Raw genomic sequence first — 27,155 nt, 5'->3', positions numbered from 1 at the left:
TCCCTGCACTGTCCCTAGGTGTTCTCTTCATTCACATCTTTTTAATCAGTCCCTTTATATATAACTTGTCCTTAAATTATCCTGATTTCAGTGTGCCATATTTCCCATTGGGACCCTGACTTATATAGAAAAAAAAATCACAAATTACTCCTGCATTTTCTGCCTGAGCAATTAGGTGGAGAGTCATACCATTTGCCAAGATGAACACTTGGAGAAAAAAGGGTCCAGGGTGGGAGGAAGAATTAAAGGCAACTTTTGACATATTATTTGAGCTTCCTAATGAACATTTAAGTGAAGATGTGAGTATATATATAATTCCTAGGTATATATACCATTTGGCACCACAGGGTAGAAGTTGGGGCTAGAGATATGTATCTGGGAGTTGCCTGCACATCCATAGCATTTAAAACCTTAAGACTGAATGAGATTACCTAGAAAGGAAGAGAGATAAAGCAGAGAAAAATAACATGCACACAGGTCCTGCAGCAGAAGAGGTGAGGCACTCTGCTTTTAAGGAACTTGGAAAAAGCCTTTGTGGCTGGAGCAGAGAACCAGAGAGTGGCTTGAGATGAGGCTGCAGAGGTGAAGTAAGGTCCCCATGGTGAGGATTCAGGTCTTTATTTTAAGAGCCTTGGAAGCCATTGAGATGTTGTAGGTACACAGGATCAGATCAGTGATTCTAAATGGTGATGGAGAATGAATTAAAGCTAAGTCCTTGCTGACTGGAAATCAGTCATGATGAAAATAAAACCCATTTGAACATATGGTAACAATGACATTAAGAGTTGGGCTCCAGAAATGTGGTTTACCCAGTTTCTCAGGACTTTTGCTTTGGAGCAAAGTAGATGTGCTGGGAGTAGCACTGAGAGACCCTTCCCTTTCCCCATTTTACCTCTAAGAACCTACTTCACAAGTGCAGACATCTCTTCCCCACCAAGCTCTCTGATTCATGCATCTTTGCCACTTCAACCACTGCTTTTTAATTCAGTTTGCTTTGACCAGAAAAAAACTTGCAGCTGACAAAAAAAGTCTTCCTGCCGCTTATTTCCCCAGGTTCCAAGTGTGAAGGGGGGAACTAAAGCAGTCCTATTTTCACATCATCAACTGCTCAGCTGGATTGTAGCAGTTAAACATGAGAAGTTTCAGGTGAAGCCCACAGCAGCTGTAAGTGTCAGAGCTGGGAGGCACAGGCTGGTTCCAAAGCAAGGAGAATTGATGGCAATGAGGACCAAAGACTGGCCAGGGAAGAAAATCCAGAATGTAGTCACATCTGATGGATGAAATAGGACCCTAAAAGGCAAGGCTTTTAGACATATCCCCTACCTTCCCTGAACGACTAAAATGCCCCTGGCACCACACAGCAGAGGAAAAAAGACATAAGCTATTAAGTTCCATTTCTGTCTGAAACAGCAGCAAGATAATTTCCTGTCAGTGACCTACATTGTGGCTGCAGCCACAGCTGAATCTGCAGAACCTGACTCCCAACTCAGGTAAAGGCAAGCAGTTGGAGTTGTCTGATACATCAATGCATGTGTCGAGTAAGTAGCAAGGGAGCTGGCCTGCTAGTCTTGAACTTCATGCTTTTCACCCTAAGTTCACTTAGATTCACCTGACCAACCAGTGGCTTTGTGCCTTTGAAATAACTGTGCCTGCCTCAAAGGCTGTACATGGCTCAGGAAGGCTTTGCAGTGGCAAAGTAACTTTCAGGAAATCTGATGTTTCTAAAATCTGAGTTTATGAAACAGTTATGGGAGGTCACTCACATCACAAGACAATCCTTCCTTTTTATCAAATGAATTCACAACTGATATTCCTAAAATAAGTCTAATCTCCTTATGCAATGAAGGAGATAGACCAAAACTCTGACAGGAGAGCCTGAGATTGGGGAAGAAAGGATAAAAGAAATTTGAGGAAAGCCTGATAATAGCCCAAATCAAGCAAACATTCAAATTCAAACAAACAACAGAAATTAAATAATAACAACAATTAAAACATATAGAATACCTGACCTTGTGCCAGGCACTGTTCTCAGCCCTTTACCTAGGTTTACTTATTTAATCTTCACAAAATTTAACCTCTAAGATAAGGACAATTATTATCCCTACTTTACAGATGAGGAAACTGAGGCATAAGAAGGTTAAGTGATTAGTCGATTTCTAGTAAATAGAACAGCCAGGATTCAAGCTTGGATAGTCTGAGTCCTGAAAGTCAGTAGGACAATATGGCCCTTCTGACACACTAAGTTCAATAATGAGATAGGGTTGGATTGTTTCTAAGTCCCCTTTTGTTGCTGACATTCCCTGTGTTTACAGGTCCTACAAAGTCATAGCTCTGTTTCACATGAGCAGAGGCATTTGTTCCTGGAGTCCAAGTTGGAGGCCATCTTGGTCTGGACTCCCTCAAAAGCAAAGCCTGTGATATGGACTGGGGTACAGATCGTTTATTTGGGAGGTGATCCTCGGTACAGGGATGAGGCAGTAGGAAAGTGAGATGAAAAGGGAAGAAAATCCGTTAAAGATGTGTTAGTGAGCTGGTTACCTCTGTGGGCAACTATGACTTAACCTTGCTGGGGAGCCTCAAATGGACCATGTGTAATGTGCCTCACAATGTCCCTCTGAAGGACAACCTGGGGTATTTATCCACAAATTCTTATCCCCCCCACCCCCGCCATGGAACGAGAGAGACTTCTGAGAGTGTTAAGTCCCCAGCTCTTCCAGCCACAGACTGAGGAGCCTTCTGTGATATAGAAGAGATCTCTGAAACAGAAAAACATAGAGGCCGTGCAGTGGGTGCGCTGTCCATAGAAGACACGGGGTCGTGGTGCTGTCCATCCTCTCAGTGCTGAAATCAGGTTGCGCAGAGGGGATGTGACACAAAGCACAAAAATCATCTACAGTTACCAGCGGATGACCTCTCTTGCTACCTTCCATTCAAAACTTGAAGTTGCCCTCCACAACCCTAGGTTTCAGCCCCTCTCTCTCTTTCCCTTATAATGAAGACAAGGACAATTCACTGGAACCAAAACCCCCAGGGGGCCAATCCAGCAGCACTTCCCATTTACCTCTTCCAGGCTTCTAGTAAACTATATATAGGAGATTTGTTTTCAACTATTACATCCAGAAGATATGTTTCACACCCCACATTTACTTCCACCTGCCTGGATAACTACAAATATTCCTTACTGGTCTCCCTGCCATCCAGTTCTGCCCATTCTCCAACCTTCGACCAAAAACTACTTTCTGGAGAGAGAACCTGATTGTTTACCTCCTGCTTAAATCCCCCAAATATATCCCCATTGCCTTCATGACATAATCCTAACTCCTCATCATGGCTCATAAAGTCCTCTGCCTTCTTCCTTCCTGGTCTGACCTTCACCCTTTCTTGCCTCCAACCACTCCACATGTACTCCATGCTTAAGCCATATGAACTCCCAGCATTTCGCTTGTACCCCTCTCTAAGGTTTTGCACACGTTCTTCCCTTGTCCTGAAATATTTTGACCTTTTACCTACATATTCTTCAAGACTCAGCTCAAAAACTATTCCCCTTGGCAACTGCTGGCTTGAGCTTCTCAGAACATGCCCCCCACACTTCTTTCCCCATCCCACTCCCAACCATGGAGTAGGCCTTTGACCCAGACCCAGCCAATTAGTCAATCAGAGTCTGCCATCCTTCTGAACAAAGTGAGCTTTTAGGAATGGACAGTGGTCTTCTTTGGGATGTTCTAGTAAAACTAGTGAGGAAGACTACCTCTTTCTCTTGGTTTATATGCTGGAAAGATGTGATTCTGTAGCTTTGGGGTGAGCATTTTTCATCACATGGAAAAAGTGAGACAGTAGCAGGAGACAATGAGGCCAACATGCTGGGGGTGTATTGGTCTGGACTCCTGATTTTGAATGACAGAAACCCAATTCAAACCCATTTTAGCAAATAAATGAATAAATAAGAATTTATGGGGCCAGGCACAGTGGCTCATGCCTGTAATCCCAGCACTTTGGTAGGCCAAGGCAGGAAAATCACTTGAGCCCAGGAGTTCAAGATCAGCCAGAACAACATAGTGAGACGCTGTCTCTATAAAAAATAATAATAATAAGTAAATTAGCTGGGCATGGTGGTGCATGTCTATGGTCACAGCTAAGGGGAGGCCATGGTGGGAGGATTGCTTGAGTCCAGGAGTTCAAGACCATCCTGGGCAACATGGCAAAAACCCATCTTTACAAAATACATATATATAAATTAGTCAGGCATGGTAACACACACCTGTAGTGCCAGCTACTCAGGAGACTGAGGTGGGAGGATCGCTTAAGCCCAGAAGTTCAAGGCTGCAGTGAGCCAAGATTGCTCCACTGTACTCCAACCTGGGCAACAAAGTGAGATCCTGTCCCCACCACTAAAACAAAGAATTTATGGGCTCACATTATTGGAGAATCTAAGGGTATATGTTTCACTCAGATCAGGCTTGGTTTAATCCAGAAGCTTAATTAATCTTTCTCTCTCTCTCTCTCGCTCTCTCTCTCTCTCTTTCACACACACACACACACACACACACACACCAATCACTTAGCCATCCTCATCTCTGCTTGGCTTCACTCTACATGATAGCCACCTCCAGCTCCATGTTCATATTCTTCTAGCTTAGAAACCCAGTGGAAAGGATACTTCTTCACCACAAATTTTTCAATCCCAGAGAAGTCTCCTCTGATTGCCCCAGCCTGGTCATGCACCCACCCCTATAACTAGGGGTTTGGGAAGAATGGGCCACCATGATTAACAGGACTGTAAAGCAGGAGTTGGCCAACTATGACCCATGGGTCAAATCTGGCCTGCTACCTGTTTTTTTTTTTTTTGTAAGCAAAGTTTTATTGGAATACAGCCACACCCATTCAGTTATATATTGTCTATGGCTGCTTCCCTGCCACAATGCTTTGGTACTGAACTCACTCAGAGTTCAGCAGTTGAGAGAGAAACCATATAGCATTCAGCAATTGAGAGAGAAACCATATAGTTTGCAAAACCTAAAATAATTGCTAACTGGCCCCTTCCAAGAAATGCCTGCTGACCTCTGCCATAGACCGTGGGAGAGGAATGAGCTCCCATTTTGCATATAGCAAAAGCCAGCACTGCTTCTCATTGTTTGATCTTAGACACATCACAACCTCTCTGAGCTTTGGGTTCCTGATCTATAAATGGAAATAACAATACTTTTCTCACAGGATGGATGGATGGATGGATGAATGGATGGACTGATGGATGGATGGATATATAAATGTATCTCATGCTAAAACTTCTTTGTCCAGCATTGTGTTTCTTTGGAGTTAGACTTAATTGGAGAAGTGATTAATCTGGAGTGAGTCAAATGGGAGACACGCCAGGGAAACACTCCCTTACAATAGATAAAGAGCTTCATACAGAGTCACTCACGCAGTAAGCACTCAATACGTGGTAGACCAAAAAAGAAAAGTTAATCAAAACCCAAAGAAAGCAAAGCTGCTCTGCTCAATGCTTTTAGAGTAAATAACTTTGCAGAGGTACAGAATGACTTTCAGCATTTTGTCCTCCCTTGTCCCTACTGAGATTCTGACGCAATTATGTCTCAGTCAGAAGAAAGCAATTTTGTCCCCATTGTATAGAGAGGAGGGGATGATCCCTGCTTTGATGTTCAAACACCTCAGGTGTACAGCTGCACCTCAGGTGCAGCTGCGATGGCCACCAACCCAAAATGCACTGGGTCCTTTTATTTGGGGGGTGGGTGGTGGCTGGGGGGAGTTTGTTCAATGCTGCCACAGAAACAAAGTGTTTTCATTTTAATCAGCGGAAGTGCTTCCAAAATCACTTCCTTAATTGCTCACAGAAGGTAGCACATCCACTCTTAAGGGAATATTCTGAAGACTGAACAGGAGACAAAACTCTGCAGCCCACAGCTGCTTCCTATCAAGAGCCTCTCACTCATTTCTGAGGTTCAGTTGCCTATCTGTAGAATGAGAGGACAACTGTTTCCTTCCAGGAAGATCCCTTCCATATGTATAGACCAAATAGTGTTTCTACTTGCTATTTTTGCCTTTTAAATAAAACACGCTATTTCCTAAAACCTAAACAAGAATCCCAGGTGCACATTTACCAACCACTTTCTATGGGCCAGTTATCTGCTAGGTCCTCTACACAAATTTCCTCCACAGAATCCACACACCTGCCTAAGAAAGCAGGGGCTGTAGTTATCCCCCTTGTCAGATGGAAAAACTAAGGCTTAGGGAGTAGCTCTGGCTTGCTCAAGGCCATCTATCAAGTGAGTAGTAGATCCAAGATTTGAACTTAGGTCTGTCTGACTTTAAATCCCACACTTCTATTTTGCACTTGAGGAAACTGAGGCACCAAAAAGCTAAGTGAGGCACCCAAGATCTCATCCTGCTCCCAGCCACCATTCTGTATTCCATAAGAGTGGGTACAGCATGGGTCTGAGGCTCAGGGACCCGAGAGTGTATCTAGATGACGCATTCCATACATAATCACGTTGCCTCTTCACACGAACCCTCTGAGGTAGGCACTATAATTATCTCTATTTTTCAGTTAAGGAAACTAAGCCTCTATGAGGCCAGAAGTGAGCCCGTGATGGAATGAAGGCAGACTCCTTTCCCTGTTCTAAAGATGGTACCAAGCCAACTGGTAGATGACCAGAGCTTGTCTATTCTCCTGAGGCTCTACTGCCCAGCTGTCAGATCCCATGAGAATCTATTCACCACCCTGTGCATAGATCAGTGTGACCTAAGGGTTAATTAAGAGCAAGAGCTGGAACTAGACTTCATAGATTTGAACCCCTCCTCCACTGCACACTAGCTGTGGGCGTGTTGCTTAATCTTTCCTGGACCTCAGTTTTTCCATCTATAAAATAGGATTTAAAAAATAGTTTTGGGATTTTTGTTTGTTTGTTTTGGAGACAGGGTCTCACTTTGTCACCCAGGCTGGAGTGCAATTGTGAAATCATAGCTCAGTATAGCCTCAAACTGCTGGCCTCAAGTGACACTCCTGCCTCAGCCTCCCAAAGTGTTGGGATTACAGAGGTGAACCACCACACCCAACCAAAAAATAGTTTTTATAGCTTTTCCTTTTTGCTTCCTTTTGGCAGCCATCAGGTGGTACAGAGCAAGACAGGAGATGGGGAGAGGTCAGGAGTAGGATGAGAAGGGAATTGGTATGGGGCAGGGGGTGTGGCCAAGAAAGCAGACTGTTCACATATAGGAAGATTAATCAAATAAGCAACTAGAGTAAGAATAATGTGTGTCACTTTAGTCAATATTAGATAAGGGAGTTACAAATATAGAAAGGGAGAAAACTAGAATAAACTCTGTGGCATTGAATTAGAATTAGAGTTCTATGGTTTTCAATATATAGACTGATGTACATTGATATATATAGATTGATTATGCATGTCTGTATATTTATTTATGTATATATTTATCAATGCATAGATACATAATATGCATATATTTGTTTATCAATGCATATAATATGTATATATTTACATATGTATGTGTGCTTATATATTCATATCCATATCTTCCCTACTTCTGTCTCTTAGAGGACCTGGAAAAAGCAATACCCCAATATTGATGAGCACACCTCATACCCAGATCCTAGCTTCTAAAAACCATTCACCACTAAAAAGAGACAGGGCTTTTTGGAGAAATGACTGATAGCAGGGCTGGAGCAAGAAAAGTGCAAGATGAAACTGGAGTATCCTGTACCAGAAAGCAAAGGGGCACCCGAAGAATGATGCAGACAGATCAAACAGACCTAGGAGTCAGCGTGAAAGAGCTCCTACTGGCCAAACCAGGGACAATGATAGTTAGAACCCCATTAAATGAAATCCACAACAATGAGTCCATACAGTGATCAACTGATGGATAGATAGATTGATTGACAGAAAGATAAAGTTAGATGAGGAATGGGATTTTTACATAGCCTCAAAGTATCTCCCACAAAATAGATACCAATTATAAAAAGGAAAAGGATAACTTTACTTGTAGAAGCCTGGCAGATACTACCTTAATCAAGTGATCAAATTGAATACCATCAGTAATGAGACAGATCAAAATCATGTGCCACCCCACAAGATGCAAGGAGAAACCAGCATCCCTTCTGTAATACTCTTGCTAAAGATGCACAACCTGAATTTAATCATCAGAAAACATCAGATAAATCAAATCTGAGGGACATTCAACAGAAAACTGGCCCATAATCTTCAAAAGTGTCAAGGTTAGGAAAGTCAAAGAAAGTCTGAGAAAGCATTCCAAACTGAAGGAGATTAAGGATATATGACAAGTAAATGTGATGCCTGATTCTAGGTGAGATCCTTTCACTCCAAAGGACTTTCCTGTGGGCTAGATGGTCGTGATGCATTCACGTTCATTTCTTGGTTAGGATGGTTGTAATGTGGCTAAGCAGGAGAATATCTTTGTTTGTGGGACATAAACACTAAAGTATTTCTAGGTGATGGGGCAGTAGGAGGTAGCAATTTACTCTCAAGTGATTCAGTGGGAAAAAAATTCTGGTGCTGTACTCACAACTTTTCTGTAAATTTGTGATTGTTTCAAAAAATGGCTAAGTACATAACAAAGATAATCTATCTACTACATGAGATATGAGTGTTAAGCACAGTGCCTGGTATAAAGTGAGTTCTCAATGTTAACTGTTAATATCAGCATCTTTTCCCCCTTCCTCCAAGCCCAAGTAGATGGACCATGAGGCGCCGTTGGCCTGGAAGGTCAATTAATCTGGCAATCTGGGCACCAGTCCAACAGGAACCATTACCTATCAACAAATTGATCTTGCCCCAATAGATCAAACACTTAGCAGCCATTCCTACAGATACAGCAAAACATTTGTTTTCATTAGAGCATTTTACAGACAAACAAGCCATACGATCCATCAGCAATCCTGTTGGCTCAGCCTGCAAAATATGTCCAGCATCCAAACACCTCTTATCACCTGCACAGCTGACACCCTGGAAGGAGGCATCGTCTTCTCTCACCCAGATCATTGTAACTGTTTTCTAATGGGTCTCCCTGCCTTTGTCCTTAATGCCCTGCAGGCTACTGTCAACACAGCAGACAGAATGGTCCTGCTAAAAATAAAATAAGATGGCCAGGCACTATAGCTCACACCTGCAATCCCAACACTTCGGGAGGCCGAGGTGGGCAGATCACTTGAGGTCAGGAGTTCAAGACCAGCCTGGCCAACATGACAAAACCCCGTCTCTACTAAAAATACAAAAATTAGCCAGGCATGGTGGCACACACCTGTAGCCCCAACTACTTGGGAGGCTGAGGCACAAGTATCATTTGAACTGGGGAGGTGGAGGTTGCAGTGGTCCCAGGTGGCACCACTACACTTCAGCCAGGACGACAGAGCAAGATTCCATCTCAAAATAAATAAATAAATAAAATAAAAAATACATATATAAAATAAGATTTTAAAATCAGATCCCACTATTCCTCCATCAAAGTCTTCCAGAGATGCCCTACTTCACAGACTTGACAGTGGTCTACAAGGCTCTGTGCAATCTGCCCCATGATCTCACCAACCTCATCTCCTCCCACATTCCCTCTTGCTCACACTGCCTCAGTTACACTGTTCCATGAGCACAGCAGGGAGGCACCCACCTTTGCACTGGCTGTTCCCTCTGCCTGGAATGCTCTTCCCCTTATCCACACAGTCAACTCCCTCCCTTCTTCAGGTCCTTGCTCAAATGTCACTTTCCCAGTGAGGCTTCCTCTGACCTCCTATTTAAAATCACAACACCCATCATCTCAGCACTCCCTACCCACTTCCCCTATTTCATTTTTTCATGGCAATCTTCACTTTCTAAAGCCTCTGTATTATTTATTTATTCATTTTGTTTTTTGGACTGTTCATAATTATCATAATACAATCACATACCACATAATGTTTAGGTCAATGATGGACCACAAAAACCTACAATAGTGATCCCATAAGGTTATAATGGAGCTGGAAAATTCCTATCACCTAATGACATCATAACCATCATAAGATCATAGCATAACGCATTACTCATTTGCTTGCGGTGATGTTGGTCTAATCAAATTTATTATGCCATCAGTTGTATGAAAGTATAGCACATGCAATTCTGTACAGTACATAATACTTGATAATAATAATAAATGTCTATGTCACTGATTTATATATTTACTATGCTTTATCATTATTTTAGAGTGTATTCCTTCTGCTTATAAAAAGTTTGTGCATCTGACAAAGGACTAATATCCAGAATCTACAAGAAACTCAAACAACTCAACAAGAAAAAAAAAATAACGCCATTAAAAAGTAGGCAAAGAATATAAACAGACATTTCTCAAAAGAAGACATACAAGTGGCCAACAAACATATGAAAAAATGCTCAACATCACTAATCATCAGAGAAATGCAAATTAAAACTACAATGAGATCCCATCTTACACCAGTCAGAATGGCTATTATTATAAAGTCAAAAAACAGTATGTGTTGGCAAGGATGTGGAGGAAAGGGAACACTACTGGTAGGAATGTAAATTAGAACAACCTTTATGGAAAACAGTATGGAGATTTATCAAAGAACCAAAAATAAGCTCCCATTCAACCCAGAAATTCCACTACTGGATATCTACCCCCAAAAAATAAATTATTATATAAAAAAGACACATTCACTCATATGTTTATCACATCACTATTCACAATAGCAAAGTCATGGAATCAACCTAAGTGTCCATCAATGGATAATTGGATAAAGAAAATGTGGAGATATATATATATATGTATATATATATACACACACACACCGTGGAATACTATATGGCCATTAAAAAGTATGAAATCATGTCTTTCGCAGCAACATGGGTGGAACTGGAAGCCATTATCCTATGGGAAATAACTCAGAAACAGAAAATCAAATATCGCATATTCTCACCAATAAGTGGGAGCTAAACGATGAGTACAAATGGACATATAGAGGGGAATAATAGACACTGGGGACTCCAAAAGGGGGAAGAGTGGGAAGGGATTGAGTATTGAAAAATTACCTGTTGGGTACAATGTTCACTATTTGGGTTACGGATACAATGGAGGCCCAAACCTCACCATTACACAATATACCCATCAGTGCAACTGAGGAAGACACTGAGAAGATACTGATAAGTTCTGGAAGAATTACAACATCTATAAGTACACTAAGAACCTTGCTTAGGCTTGGGGTGATGTCACCAAGGAGTATATAAATGGCATCTGCAAGAAGACACTCGAGAGATTTATCTATGACGTCAAAGGATTTGCCAAGGTTGAGGAGGTTGCAAAAATCAACACAGCTGTGGTTGAGATGGCAAACAACTTTGCACATGTGCCCCCTGAATCTATAATAATGAAAGAAAAGTTTGCTGTAAAGCAGGATGCCATGTTAGCCCAGAAGCAGCCTCATACATCTGTGTTTACCAAGACTTGTGGCTGCATCATTTTCTCTTGTGCTCTTGTTCTGTCCATCATGGCCCCTAAGTGCACAAAATCGACAGCTAATGTTACCAGTAAGAGGCCACGTAGAGTGACTGACCAGGAAATGAAAAAATGAAATTGAAAGTGATGGTTGTTGCTCACTAGGCAAGCATGTCCCATTCCTGCAGCTATGATCTTGAACAAGAACAAAGTGACTGGAGTTGTTTAAGGAACTGCTTCATTGAAGGTAACAAGACTAACAAAAATGGGACTGGGCGTGGTAGCTCATGCCTGTAATCCCAGCATTTTGGAAGGCTGAGGCTGGCGGATCACCTGAGGTCAGGAGTTCAAGAACAGCCTGGTCAAAATGGCAAAACCCCGTCTCTACTAAAAATACAAAAAAATTTGCCAAGCATGGTGGTATGCACCTGTAATCCCAGCTAATCGGGAGGCTGAGGCACCAGAATCGCTGGGACCTGGGAGGCAGAGGTTGCAGTGAGCTGAGATCGTGCCACTGCACTCCAGCCTGGGTGACAGAGCAAGACTGTCTCAAAAAAAAAAAAAAAAAAAAAAAAAAAGACCAACAAAAATTCGAGATGGGCCCAAATCAGACATGAAGAAACTTCTATTGACCTAGATTGAAGACCGGACACACAAGGTCCCTCTCAGCACCAGGATGATCACAGTTTAAGCAAAAAGTTGGTTTTACAATGCTGAAAGAAAAGGCTGGACCCGACTATGATGTTGAGTTTACTGCTAGCACTGGGTGGTTTAAACAATTCATGAATCATTATTCATTACATAATGAAAATGTGAGTGGTGCGTCTGCAAGTGCTGATGTGAAGAATTTTTGGAAACTCTAGATAAGCTGATTGTAGAGGAAAATTACTTGCCAGAGCAAATCTTCCCTATTCTGGAAACAGATGCCTGAAAGGACTTTCATCCATAAGGAGGCCAAGTCAATGCCAGGTTTCAAGGCTTTTAAGGACAGGATAACCGTCTTGCTCTGAGACAATGTTGCAGGCTACAAAATGAAACCCTTTGTGGTCTGGCCTTCAAGCCATGGCCTTCAAGCATATCAATCAGCACACACCACCAGAGGAGTGGAGGAGGAATAAGAAGTCATGGATGGATGACACATGAATAAGAAGTCATGGATGGATGATGCCGTCCTGAATTGCTCTGCCAGCAAAATGGGGAAACACTGATAGAGGAGAAGAACAAGCCTTTCACGATTTTGCTTAGTGTTGATAATGCTCCCACACATACTCCTTTTATTGGTGATCTTCATCCCAATATCAAAGTGGTGTTTCTACCTTTGAACACCACCTCCTTGAACTAACCAATGGATCAAGGAGTTACAGCAGCTTGTAAGACCTACCATCTGAGGATAACCTTTGCCCAGCCTACCGCTGCAACTGAGGAAGACACTGATGAATTCTGAAAGAATTGCAACATCTATAACTGCACCAAGAACCTTGCTGAGGCTTGGGGTGATGTCACCAAGGAATATATAAATGAAATCTGCAAGAAGATACTCAAGGGATTTCTCTGTGATTTCAAAGGATTTGCCAAGAATGGGGAGGTTGCAAAAATCGACAAAGCTCTGGTTGAGACGGCAAACAACTTTAACCCGGGTGTGGATGAAGATGACACTGAGGAGCTCCTAGAGGTGGTTCCTGAGGAATTAACTAATGAGAAGTTGGAACTGGAGCAGGAATGCATAGTGAAAAAAAAAGGCAAGAGAAAAGAAAACTGCAGAAGAAGGAAAAGAATCCCCAAGAAAATTCACAGGGACAGGTTTAGTAGATGCTTCTGCAGACCTCAAAAAGCTCCTTAAAGAGTTTGAAAGCAATAAGGACCCCAACACTGAAAGGCTTTCATTAATAGAGGGGAATGTTCATGGTGTATTATCTGCTTACAAGCACATCTATGATGACAAAAGGAAACAAACCAAGCAAACCCCCCAGGACGTGTTTCTGAAAAGAGTGACATCTCCTCAAGAGCCTCAGCCAGGTCCTTCAGGAGGGATTCCAGAAGAAGGGATTGTTATCATAGGAGAGGACAGCTCCGTGCAAGTTCTTGCCCCTGAAGATCTTCCAGTGGAAAAGTTGTGAAGTGGAAGGTAACGATCTTGACTAATACAGCTAATACAGTGTATGTGTCTTTAACAATGTCTGTGTGTGTAGGCCTAGGCTAATGTGTGTGCTTGTGTTTTCGTTTTTAACAAAAAAAAGTTTAAAAAGTAAAAATAAAATAAAAAGTTCTTAAAATTAAAAAAGCTTATAGAATAAGGATATAAGGAAAGAAAATATTTTGTACAGCTGTACAATGTGTTTGTGATTTAACAATGTCTTTGTGTTTTCACAAGAGTCAAAATTTTAAAAGATTAAAGATAACTATTGGGCACTAGGCTTAATACCTAATACAACAAACCCCCATGACACGAGTTTGCCTATATAACAAACTTTCACATGTACCTCCGAACCTAAAATAAAAGGGTTTTTTTAAGTATATAAAGTAAAAAGGTTATAATAAGCTAATTTATTATTGAAGAAAGAAATTTTTAAATAAATTAAGTGTAGCCTAAGTGGACAGTGTTTATAAAGTCCACAGCAGTGCACAGTAATGTCCTAGGCCTTCGCATTCACTCACCACTCACTCACTGACTCACCCCTCACCCACAGCACCCTCCAGTCCTGCAAGCTCCATTCCTGGTAAGCTCTCTATACAGGTGTACAATTAAATTTATCTTTTTTTTTTTTTTTTTTTTAGATGGAGTCTCGCTGTGTCACCCAGGCTGGAGTGCAGTGGCATGATCTCAGCTCACTGCAATCTCTGCCTCCCGGGTTCAAGCAATTCTCATGCCTCAGCCTCTTGAGTAGCTGGGAATACAGGCTAATTTTTGTGTTTTTAGTAGCGATGGGGTTTCACCGTTGACCAGGCTGGTCTCGAACTCCTGACCTCAAGTGATCCATCCACCTCGGCCTCCCAAAGTGCTGGGATTACAGGTGTGAGCCACCTCCCTCGGCCTGTATTTATCTTTTATACTGTATTTTTATTGTACCTTTTCTATTTAGATATGTTTAGATACACAAATACTTACAACTGTGTTATAGCTGCCTACAGTATTCAGTACAGTAACATGCTGTACGGATTTGCAGCCGAGAAGCAATAGGCTACACCATACAGCCTAGTGGTACAATAGGCTATACCATCTAGGTTGATGTAAGTATACTCTATGACAGTCAAATGACAACGAAATCACCTAAAGGTGCATTTCTCAGAGCACATCTCCATCATTAAGCCATGCATGACTGTTTTGCTCTTTGAGGGCAGAGGTCTTGGCTGCTTATTTTCACCAAAACTTTCCAGCACCTAAACTGTGCCTGAAACATGACAAAAGCAATCAGGGAATATTGTTGAAAATGAATTAATGAATGAATGAGTAATTAAATGAATGAATGAGTTTTTGCATGGGGCAGAGGAAAGAAAGGAGGAGGAGAATAAACTGTGCAGGAACCACACCAGGTGGTGAGACTCTCCAAGATCAGAGCCTCTGTTCTCTCCTGGGTCACTCAACAGCCACCAGTCCAGTCCTCATCCACACTGGCCCCATGGTTATTAGCACAAATGGAGGGAGCAACAGGTTTGGAGTTTTGTTGTTTTTGAGAAACAGGGTCTTTTTCTGTCACCCAGGCTGGAATATAGTGGCACGATCATGACAGCCTCAAGTTCCTGGGCACAAGCAATCCTCCCACCTCAGCCTCCCAAACAGCTGGGACTACAGGTAAGCGCTACCACACCCAGCTAATATTTTCATGTTTTTGTACAGACAGAGTCTCACTATGTTGCCCAGGCTGGTCTCGAACTCCTGGCTTCAAGTGATCCTCCCACCTCAGCCTCTCAAAGTGCTGGGATTATAGGTGTGAGCCACCACACCCTGGCTCTAGATTTTTTTAAATGAAGGTCTCCACTTGGCAGTTTCTCAAAAACAATTCCCACATGATCTAGTAATTCCACTCCTAGGTATGTACTCAAAAGACTTGAAAGCAGAGACTCAAATGGACATTTGTACATAAATGTTCATAGCAGTACTATTCACAATAGCCAAAATGTGGAAACAACCCCAATTCTTCCACCAGATGAATGGGTGGAAAACAAAATGTGGCCTAGCCATACAATGAAATATTATTCAGCCTTTAAAAAGGAATGAAATACTGATACATGCTACAAAACATGGAACCCGTAAAACATTATGCTATGTAAAACAAGCCTCACACAAAAGGACAAATATTGTATGATTCCACTTACATGAGGTATGTAGAAGAGGCAATTTCACAGAAGCAGAAAATAGAAACATGGTGTCCAGGGGCTAGGGAGAAGAGAATGGAGATGGGAATTATTGTTTAACAGGTACAGAGTTTCTGTTTGGAATGATGAAAAGGTTCTGGAAATGGACAGTAGTAATGGTTGAACAATGTTGTGAATGTCCTTAATGCTACTCAATTGTATATTTTAAAATGGTGAGAATGGTAAGTTTTGTGTTCTTTATATTTAGCACAATTAGAAAATGAAAGTTCATGTATTCCACGGCATTTGAAGTCTCCTGTAGCAAGAGTGAGACAGATCTATAGAACTCACAAGCAAACGTACCAAGATAATATAATGAAGTTTTTAAAATGTTGAATGGTTTTGGTTTAGCTGGGGGCGGGAGTTGGTTTTTGTTGGGATTTTGTTTGTTTGTTTGTTTGTTTTTTGGGGGTTTTTTTGGTAACGAGGTCTTACTGTGTTGCCCAGGCTGGGGTGGTGCAATGGTGCAATCTCTGCTCACTACAGCCTCCACCTCCACCAGGGTTCAAGCCATCCTCCTGCATCAGCCTCCCAAGTAGCTGGGACTACAAGCATGCACCACCATGCCTGGATAATTTTTGTTTTGTTTTTTTTAGGAACGGGGTTTCGCCATGTTGCCCAGGCTGGTCTGGAACTCCTGAGCTCAAGCGATCCACCCGTCTCAGCCTCCCAAAGTGCTGGGATTACAGACATGAGTCACCACACCAGCCTTGAATGGTATTAATAATATGAACACAGTTGTATTAAAAATTAAATGTTGCCAGGAGCTATGGCTCATGTCTGTAATCCCAGCACTTTGGGAAGCCAAGGTGGGAGGATCACTTGAGGTCAGGAGTTCCAGACCAGCCTAGACCACACAGTGAGACCCCTGTCTCTACAAAAACATTAAAAAATTAGCCAGGTGTAATGTCACTCGCCTGTGGTCCCAGCTACTCAGGAGGCTAAGATGGAAGGATCACTGGAGCCCAGGAGGCGGAGGTTGCGGTGAACTATGATCTGCTCCTGCACTCCAGCCTGGGTGACAGAGCGAGACCCTATTTCAAAAAAAAAAAAAAATGTGTAAACAAGTATCTATTACTTCATTCAATAAATATTTATTGTCTTCATGTGTCAGACACTATTCTAGAAACTAGAATGCAGCACTGGGGAAAAAAAGTCAAAACTTTCTGCTTCACAGAGCTGGCATAAGTTACATTTTGTAAAAAATAAATAAATAAAATAAAAAAGGATATATAAAAGGGGATGAGAAAAATTCAACTTTTGGACCCTGAATCATCCCTCATTGTGCAAGAATTTCTTCTTGGCTTCTTCCTACCCAATCTGATAAGGAAGCCTTAGTTCAATGAAAAGAGGAAGATTTGTAGAAAATTCTAAAATTGGATTAAGGGAGCTTGGCAATGATCAAGCCTGTCTTCTCAGTGCAGCAGAGAGGTTAGAAATTCTGGCCCTGACATCAGGGAGGCCTGGACTCAAGTCCCACCTCCTCCATAAGTGGCTATGTGACCTTCATTGAATCATTTCACACATCTACACCTCAATGTCCACACCTACAGAACGGGGATAAAATTAGAGATGAGGTAATGTAGAATGCAATTGCCTTGGCTGCTGGGACTGAACTGGAAATGTCAGCTTTCCCAGACTTCATTCATTCATTTGTTCTACAACCAGGAACTGAGGGGATGTGGATCTGCATTTGCTGCCTAATATATGATGATAATGGTGGTGCTAAAAGCTGGATCTACATTGACTGACTGTACCTCCCAAAATTCACATGTTGAAGTCCCAACCCTAGGACCTCAGAATGCAACTATGTTTGGAGATAAGGTCTTTAAATGGTTAAGTCAAAATGAGGCCAGTAGGGTGGAACCCTTATAAGAAGAGGAAGAGACGCTAGGGATGTGTGCACACGTAGCAAAGCTGTGTGAGAGCATGGTGAGAAGGCAGCCGTCTGCAAGCCAGGGAGGGAAGCCTCAGGAGAAACCAACCCTGCTGACACCTTGATCTTGGACTTTCAGCCTCCAGAACTGTGAGAAATAAATTGCCATTGTTTAAGCCACCCAGCCTGTGGCATTTTGTTATGGCAGCCGTAACAGGCTAATACAAATGGTGAATAAAACAAAATGAGGTGTCTGCCTTCCTGGAGCTTATAGTCAAATGCAGTATTCCTCAAAATATGAGCACCCAATTACTATAAGAACTTACATCTGTGAATGCAGATATTGCTTAGGACTGGGCCTGATATATAACAAATGATAAGAATACACAAGTCCTGCAATCTTTAATACAGATGGGGAAACTGAGGCCCAAAGAGACGGTGGGACTTACCTCAGGTCTCAGGCCTGGCTAGTAGCTCCATCTTTGACCCAACTGATGACCTATGGAAAAAAATTTCATTCTTACTGCCTCCATCACCTTAGTTCCAGTAGTACCAAGAGTCATAAATTCTCACTAAAGCATTGCATAGAGCGTTTTCTTAAATAATTCAAAATAAAAATGTGCCAGGGCACAAAATAGAAAATCTCATTACTCTCCAAGATGAATGGACACGAACTTTTCCAACTCCGAAAGGTAATAAAATGGAATGTAGCACTATCTGAAGTCTACCAAGAGATCTGGTCTATTCTACATCAAAGAACCACACAAATAAATACTATTGGTTTTAAATTTGTGTAAAGGGGCCTGGCGTGCTGGCCCATGCCTGTAATCTCAGCACTTTGCAAGGCCGAGGTGGGCCTTGAGGCCAGGAGTTTGAGACCAATCTGGTCAGCATAATGAAACCCCATCTCTACTAAAAACACAAAAATTAGCCAGGTGCGGTGGCATATGCCTGTAATCCCAGTTACTTGGAAGGCTGAGGCATGAGGATTGTTTGAACCCGGGAGATGGAGGTGCAGTGAGCCGAGACTGCACCACTGCATTCCAGCCTGGGTGACAGAGTGAGACTCTGTCTCAAAATAAATAAATAAATAAATTTGTGTAAAGGAAAAACCAACCACCATGAATTTTAAATCAGTAATTTCCATTTTTTTTTTTTTTTTTTTTTTGAGACCGTGTCTTGCTCTGTCACCCAGGCTAGAGTACAGTGGCACAATCATGGCTCACTGCAGCCTGAAACTCCCAGGCTCAGACGATCCTCCCACCTCAGCCTTTTGAGTAGCTGGGACTACAGACATGTGCCACAACACCTAGCTTTTTTTTTTTTTTTTTTTTTTTTTTTTGTAGAGATGGGGTTTCACTCTGTTGCCTAGGCTGGTCTCAAACTCCTGGGCTCAGCGATCGTCCCACCTCAGCCTCCCAAAGTGCTGGGATTCCCGGAGAGTGAGCTACCACACCTGGCCTAACCAGTAATTTTATCTCTGAGAATGTCACCTACAGAAACAACCCTAAGTCGAAAGCAAACAAAAACATTTTGCACAGTGTGTATATTAAGAAAAATGAAAAGCAACCTAAATGTCCATTAACTGGGAAATAAGTACATTCCACTCAGTGGAACATTATTCAGCCATAACAAATTATGTATGATACCTTTATGTGACATATTTATGTTATTAGGTCAAGTAAAAAAATAGAAATATGGAATTGTATATAGTATATGTAATGATCACAGTTGTGATAAATTAAAAACTAAGCATATAAAAATACAAGTGGGAAATACACTAAAACATTAACAGTGGTTGTCTCCATCTGTCTCCTCAACTGTATTTTCCAAATGATCTGCAATGATTATAGACATATTCCTTTCAACATAGAAGAAAACCAAATTGATTTTTTAATATATTTTATAGTGTCAGGAGAAAACATAGCCTGAATTGTCTCCTCAAAATGAGTCTTATATTCTAAGACTAGTAGCAAGAATAATAACAATAACAGTTAACATGTATCAAGCATTTACTATATGTCAGGCACTGTTCAAAGCATTTGACTTTCATTCACTTGCTTAAGCTTTTTCCCACTTACTCTGTGGCAGCTGCACCCACCACCCTCCTTGCTATTCCTCAAACCGTTCACTGCCTCAGGGCCTTTGCACCTGCAGTTCCCTCTGCCTGGAAAAGCTGTTCCCTGCTCTTCCCCCTATGTATATCCACATGGCTCACTTTCTCCACATCTTTGCTCAAAGGTAACCACCCTAGAGAGGCCATTCCTGACCATCCAACCTAAAGCAACACACACACACACACACACATACACACACACACACCCTCTCTAGCCCCATTACCCTGGTTGATTTTTCTTCATGGCTTATTCTGTTGATTGCAGCATGAAATTTACTCATTTATTGCCTATTGCCCCCATTAGAACATCTCTCTGTTTTATTCACTACTGTCTCCAGCATCAAGAATAACACACCTATCACGCAGTAGATATTCAATAAAAGATAACTAAATATACCCCAAAATATAACCATCTTAGGAAGTAGTTACCTTTATTCTTCCATTGTACAGATTATGAAACTGAGGCATAGAGAGACTCGCTCAGGGTCACATGGCCAGAGCAATGGTTCAAATATACAGTCTGGCTCCAGAACCCAAATTCTTAGCCAACAAATGGCTTGAGGTGGGGTTGTAATTGTCATGGTATTGGTAAAGATGAGACAGATTTTGTTAAGGATATCTTCAAAAAAAACAGGCCAAGGGAAACATCACTTTTGTCCATTAAACATAAAATGTGGGTCTTCAATCCAGAAAAGAAAAACTGGTTTGTGCAAGTGTAATACAGCTAGGCTCCTTTGATTCTTAGCTGTTCTGCGCTCTGGAAAAAACCTAAGCTAATGTGTGGCTAAATTCACACTTTAGAGTACCCCCATAGCTTTTAAGATTAATGCAGTCCCAAACTATGGGATGCATACCCTCCAGTGTTAGCAAAAGAGACCATGCAGTTAGGACCAGCCCATTTACAAGGTCATCTCCACATCGGTCATCAAACCAACTCTGTGAGTTGGGGACTCTCACCAGGCATCAGCAATATGAGGACAGGGACTGTGTGTCTTGTTCACTGTTGAGTCCCAGGCCCCTCAAGTGTCATCTGGCAAACAATCAGCCAACAGTGAGTATTGAAAAGTGGAATTAACATTAGGGATGGAAAAATGGAGGCTCAGAGAGGGGACACCACTTTTCCAAAGTCACACAGCTAGTAGACAGGAAACTGTCCAACCTCACTGTGCACATAATCATTTTGAGGCTGAGAAAAGGGAGGCTCCCCAAGCCTCTTTGGTGATGTACTGGCCATGAGAGGTGGCTGGGAGGAGTGTGACCGGCTGAGAGCCTCCAACTGCCACACCTTCCAGGGTCCCTGAAGACCCACAACCTGTGAGATGTGAGTGGACGTCTGCCAGGGTTTTTAGAGAAAGGTATTTTTGCTCTTAAAAAGAGGCACACAAACGAAAATGGAGCCTCTTCCATGGGGGGACATTATATTACATCTGAAAATAACATCTAGAACTGAGAGAGCCATCTTATCACCTTTAGGGCTACTTACTGACATTAAGATGACAAAGGAGAATTATAAGAAGAACGTTGGTCTTGGTGAAGTTGTCAAGGCACTGAATTAATCCTGGAGTCACTGTTACCTATGATAATAAATTTTTCTTTATTGTTTAAGCCAGTCGAATCAAGATATTTTTCTTTTGGATCAAAAGCATCCTGGTGCACACAAATAGCTACCATTTAATGAACATTTACTATATGCCCATAGCACATGGCACCTGCAACTCTCCCACCAGACTAAATGGTATACATTTCTTCTCAGATTTAATCCAGTGCAACCCATGAGGCAGGTACTGTTATTAACCTCATTTTACAGATGAGGAAACTGAAGCTCAAAACAATATGAAAATCGACCAGAGTGCCATAGCTAGTGTCAGAGCTGAGATTTGATCGTGGGATGGTATCCTTATGGCTTACCACTCTTCTATAAAACCACCTCCTATGGCTGTCTACCGGCTGTCTGCTCTCATCTCTGCCCCCATTCAAAACGCCACTCACATTGACAAATTGATTCAGAGAGCAGCTGCTGCACCCACGAACTTATGAATCAGATCTACTAGAAGCGATTGCAATCTTTGAACAATTCTGTGAAGATACTTAAGAGACATCCTATGAAATCCAAAGCAGATGTGATTTACCCCCAAGGATGGAAATTCAAGCTCCAGATGGAGTAGAAAGACGAAATTTGCAGAGGAGAGCTCACTTTGCTTTGAAACACCCTACACCTGCCTCTCTAAAAGCAAGATCCTAATTTAGTTCAAGCACTGCTTGCAGAATTTTTTTCTTGTGATAATCTTAAAACACAGTCGTAAGTGCTCTGCTCCAGTGGTTCAAGCACACATTTCAGAGAACAACAAATTTTCCTGGCAATAAACTGAGAAGATCCATAATGTGCCTGGGTGATTTATACCCCAGAAAATCTAGAAAAAGCCACATAGATAAGGACATCATTCAACAGAACCAAAGAAACCGGCAGACATTTAACGAGACCAAGTGTACTAACTTCAAACAAAGCAAAAACTCATACATAATGATGTTGGACAACATGACCCTTTGTTGTAGGGGGAAAAAATCCAGGGTGGCATGTGGTGTGATATTAAAATCAATGTTGCCTTGTGGTTTGGTCTAGTAACTATCATTTCAAACTCAGGACCTCATTCATAAGCTTCATTTTTTTGAACAACTCTCACGGTATCTCTCTGTTTGACTATCAGTCAGAACTCACCAGCTTATATCTGAACAATACTCAACTTTTAAAAATTTTAAAAATCAAATGAAAATTTATCGTCTCTGGCATATAAAATGCCTGGGAGTCTTTTGCTTCAGGTACAGCTGCATCCAGGCACTCAAATGATGTGATCAAAGCTTGGTCTCTCCCCAGGGCATGATTCTGCTTTTCTCCGTGTTGATTTTATTTTCAGTTTCTTTCCATGTAATGAGCTGCAGCTATTCAGGGTAACATTGTGCTTTTATTATATAGCTATCTATTGTACTGGAAAGCGAGTTTCTTCCCCACTCAGGTGAGTTTCTTGTGGATATTGACCTCATCTACATGGCAGCTAAAGATGAGGATGAGTAAGGACTGAGCAAAGCTGTTAAAGATGGTTATTTGAGGATCTTTGGTGGAGTTCAAGAGATCAAAAGAATGAGCTAACATATGAAAGTACCTGGCATATAGTACGTGCTCAATAAATGTTTCTCAGCCACTGTAGCAGAGATGGATGGTGTTGTACCATATCTTCTAGGTACTTATCAGATGGCATGCACCTGTGACTGCCTGTCCGAGGTGTTTCTTTTGGCTCATTTGCAGGGCAGATCAGAAGTGACAGGGCATTCATGCCATCAGGAGCAACCCAGTCCACAAGAGATGAGTGCTGAAGGACAAACTCCCCTCAGGTAGGTTAACTCTGTAGCTTGTGTTCTGCACCCTCTCCCAGTGTTCCCCAGCAGGACTGAACTCCAATCACCCACAGTGCAAACAGGCTCAATCTGAACAATATCTTTCATTTTATTTATAGATTTAGAAGGTACACATGCAGTTTTGTTACATGGATATATTTCCTAATGAAGTCTGGGCTTCTAGTGTAACCATCATCCAAATAGTGTACATTGTACCATTAGGTAATCTCTTATACTTCAGCTCCCTTCCACACTCCCACCCTTCCAAGTCTCCAGTGTTTATTATTCCACTCTCTACGCCCATGTGTGCACATTATTTAGCTCCCACTTAAAAGTGAGAACATGCAGTATTTGACTTTCTGTTTCTGAGTGATTTCACTTAAGATAATGGCCTCCAGTTCCATCCACATTGCTGCAGAAGACATGCTTTCATTCTTTTTATGGCTGAGTAGTATTCCATGGTATATATACTACATTTTCTTTATCCATTCATCTGTTGATGGACACTTAGCTTTTGTGAATAGTGCTGTGATAAACATACAAGTGTAGGTATCTTTTTTCTTTAATGATTTCTTTTCCTTTGGGTTGAAACCCATTAGTGGGATTGCTGGATCAAATATTAGTTCTATTTTTGCAAAACATTATCTGTTGACTTTCTTCCCCTCCCTGTCTCACCTCCCAACTCCCTGACCTGTTTTCTGAGATCACCTGCCAAATAAACCATTTGTACCCAAATTCTTATCACAGAGTGTGCTTCTGGGGAAACCCAGGCTGACACGAACATGAAGGCAAACAGCCTAGAATCATAGAATTTTACACTGAGATGAAAGTGAGGCTGGATTTTAAGCCCCATGTAGCAGAAACTATGTCTTCTCTTTATTTCTCCACTTCCAGAGCAGGGGTGGGCACACAGAAATGTTGGCTGAATGAATGGATGAACAAAATACTTTAAATTCTATTGAAATGCAACACGAACACACACATGCTTAACTCTAGCTTAGCATTTACCTAATCTTGATTTGACTTCTGCATCAGCAGCTGGGAGTTACTGGTTAGGAAATTAGGATAATAGGATGCAGGGAGGGATGGAAGTAATGAATTAGGAAACAAGACACATGAGTCATGGTTCTATCCTCGCTACCCACTGGCTGTGGGATCACAGGTGGGTAATCCAAGCTTCCAGACCTCTTCATCCTCATAGGCAAACTGGGTACAGCGTGATGGTGGTTAAATGCACAGATTCGGGAGCCAGGCTGCCTAGATTCAAATCTCACCTTGGCCACTGACTACCAGTGTGAGTTCGGGCAAGTTACCAAACCTCTCTTGCCTTTAGTTACTCTAGCACAGGGTTTCTCAACCTTTAGAGCTATTGACATTTTGGGCCAGATAATTCTTGGAGGGGAGGGGTGCTGTCCCGTGCATTGTAGTACATTGAGCAGCACCCCTGACCTCTACTCACTAGACGCCAGTAGCACCCATATTTGAGACAACCAAAAAGTATCTCCAGACCTTGCCTTACCCTGGGGGAGAAACCACTCCCATTTGAAAAACACTGCTAGAAAATGGGAATGATAATAGAACACACCTTATGGAATTGATGTGAGGATTAAATTAAACAATCGAAAGTCTTAGAAGAGTGCCTGGTACTTAATGAATACTGGTTGAGTGGATTATTATTATTATTATTTACTATCATCTGCCTTAACAACATTTACAGACAAATTGTGGGCAAAAGCAGCTAGTGTAACTCAAGGTCAGAAGTGACTCTGAGGCACCCATTTTGACTCTGATTGCAACTGGCCAACTGAAAAATTTAGAATTAGGAAGACCCAAGGTTGAATCCCAACACTGCCACATACTGATTGTATAGAATTGCCAGATAAAATACAGGATGTCCAGTTAAATTTAATTTCAGTTAGACAACAAATAATTTTTTAGTGTAAGTGTGTCTCCAAAGATTTCATGGGATATACTTAAACTAAAAATGTATTTGTTATAGAAAACTCAAATCTAGCTGGGTATCCTGAATTTTTATTTGCTAAATCTGGCACCCCTATTAATGTATGACTTTGCACAATTTAAATTAACCTCTCTACACTTTAGTTTCCTCACCTGCTGAATGGGGATAAAACTTCCTACCTCAGAGAGTTCTTGAAAAAATTGGAAAAAATAGTAAACATGCAGTTTAGCCTCAGGCACACAGTAGGCATGAAATAAATGGTAGTTGCCGGAATTACATATGCAGGGATTTTAAATGCTATGTTTGTTTTTTACAAAGAAGGTGAGATCCTTGAGAACAATGCTGTCTTGTTCTTTGCTACATCTCCAGCATTTAGCAAGCTGCAGGAATAGCCTGCACTCAGGAGTCAAACACCCTGAGCTTAAGATCCCAGCTCCATCACTTAACTAGCTGTGTAACTCTGGGTAAGTCACTTAACCTCTCTGTGCCTCACCTGAAAAATAGAAATAATATAACCCACAGTGTAGGGTCATTGCAAAGATTAACTGAGTCAATAATTAATATAGAATGCTTAGAAGAGCCTTGATCCTGTTATGTGCTCACTAAATCCTGATTGAATGAAGGAAGGAAAGAAGCTACACTTCTACCACATCTCAATCTATAGAAGGTCCACCTACCTCTTTCCTAACAAGATAGTTACAAATCTCTACAATTTCTAGCACTTCTCTGAGATTAAGATTCCAACCTTCAGCTGGGCACGGTGGCTCATGCCTGTAATCCCAGCACTTTGGGAGGCCGAGGTGGACGGATCACTTGGAGGTCAGGAGTTTGAGACCAACCTGACCAACATGATGAAACCCTGTCTCTACTAAAAATACAAAAATTAGCCAGGTGTGGTGGCGTGCATCTGTGATCCCAGCTACTCAAGAGGCTGAGGCACAAGAATCACTTGAACCTGGGAGGCGGAGGTTGCAGTGAGCCAAGAATGCACCACTGCACTCCAGCCTGACAGAGCTGGTGACAGATCAAAACTCTGTCTTGAATAAGTAAATAAATAAATGCAATTTTAGAAAGATTCCAATCTTCACATCTGACCACATTTAACACTGTCTCTGATCCAGGTCACTTAAAGCATGCCATACCAAGCAATAGCTAGGATCCTGAGATAGGCTCAATGGAGCAAAATTAGCAAACAAGCAATATTTTACTGTATAGCTTTGAATTTAATAGAGCCAAGGAGCAGGCTGACTGCAAGCAGCAGAAGTTAAATGATGACCTTTTCAAAATTTGCTTTCTGCGATGCAAATGCTAGCGTATGGCTGCAATCAGATGTTTATCATGTCTGATTAGGAGATTTATGGCCACATAATTCTAAAAGCACAGAAAACAGAAACACACCCTAATTCAGCTATGTCCAGTTTCTTAACCAAGCTTCTTAATATTTGGCTGTTCAATGTGACCCAACCATTTTCCATGCCCCAGACACACAAATGTCCTATTAAGAATGACTGCATTTCCACTGCAGTTATTTTTCCCACCTTCTATGCTGCGGAGTGGGGAGGAGGGAAAATGCTGAAGGAGAAGGGAGCTGGCAAAGAAAGGAGAGAAAAATCTAGAGCGTTGAGGAAGAGACGTCAGAGACTAAAGGATTCTCACTTGTCATGTTCATCATTCTTCACACTCCTCCACTCCATGCCCCCTAGAGAATTTCAGGAAGTTATTGAGATTTGCAAAGGGTATTAAATTCCGTGGCCACAATCCCCTACCTCTGCAGAACTTCCATGCACTCAGATTTTTCTGACAGTTGATTCAATCAAATTTTGTGAACTAAGCATCTATTGCTCCAAACTGAGATGCTATTCAATTCAAAAAATATTTACTGGACATCGAATGGCCCAGGGTAACTATCCTGAGAAGAAAGAAAAAAGAGAAGAGAGTGTAGAGGAGAAGACAGGGAAAGGAGAGATGAAAAGATGGGGAAAAGAGAGGGT

The 27,155-nt window shown here is 41.7% G+C and overlaps 1 protein-coding gene across 1 annotated transcript in view, besides 1 other annotated feature; it reads right to left on the bottom strand.

Annotated features, from left to right (window-relative positions):
• The window catches only part of RPH3A (rabphilin 3A), a 323,646-nt gene that overhangs the window by 231,271 nt on the left and 65,220 nt on the right, over positions 1 to 27,155 (bottom strand). The gene's annotated exons all lie outside the window — the stretch shown is intronic.
• Positions 25,273 to 25,793: an enhancer, noted in NCBI's record as "NANOG hESC enhancer chr12:113079622-113080142 (GRCh37/hg19 assembly coordinates)". NCBI's record gives its function as "activates a minimal SCP1, AML or CMV promoter by ChIP-STARR-seq in naive H9 embryonic stem cells {active_cell/tissue: H9 hESC(naive)}" and the evidence as "EXISTENCE:reporter gene assay evidence [ECO:0000049][PMID:30033119]".

This window comes from Homo sapiens, chromosome 12 (genome assembly GCF_000001405.40).
Source record: "Homo sapiens chromosome 12, GRCh38.p14 Primary Assembly".
In the NCBI taxonomy this organism is placed as follows: domain Eukaryota; kingdom Metazoa; phylum Chordata; class Mammalia; order Primates; family Hominidae; genus Homo; species Homo sapiens.
Note: the sequence above shows the minus strand (reverse complement) of the source record. Positions and strands in the feature narration are given on the sequence as shown.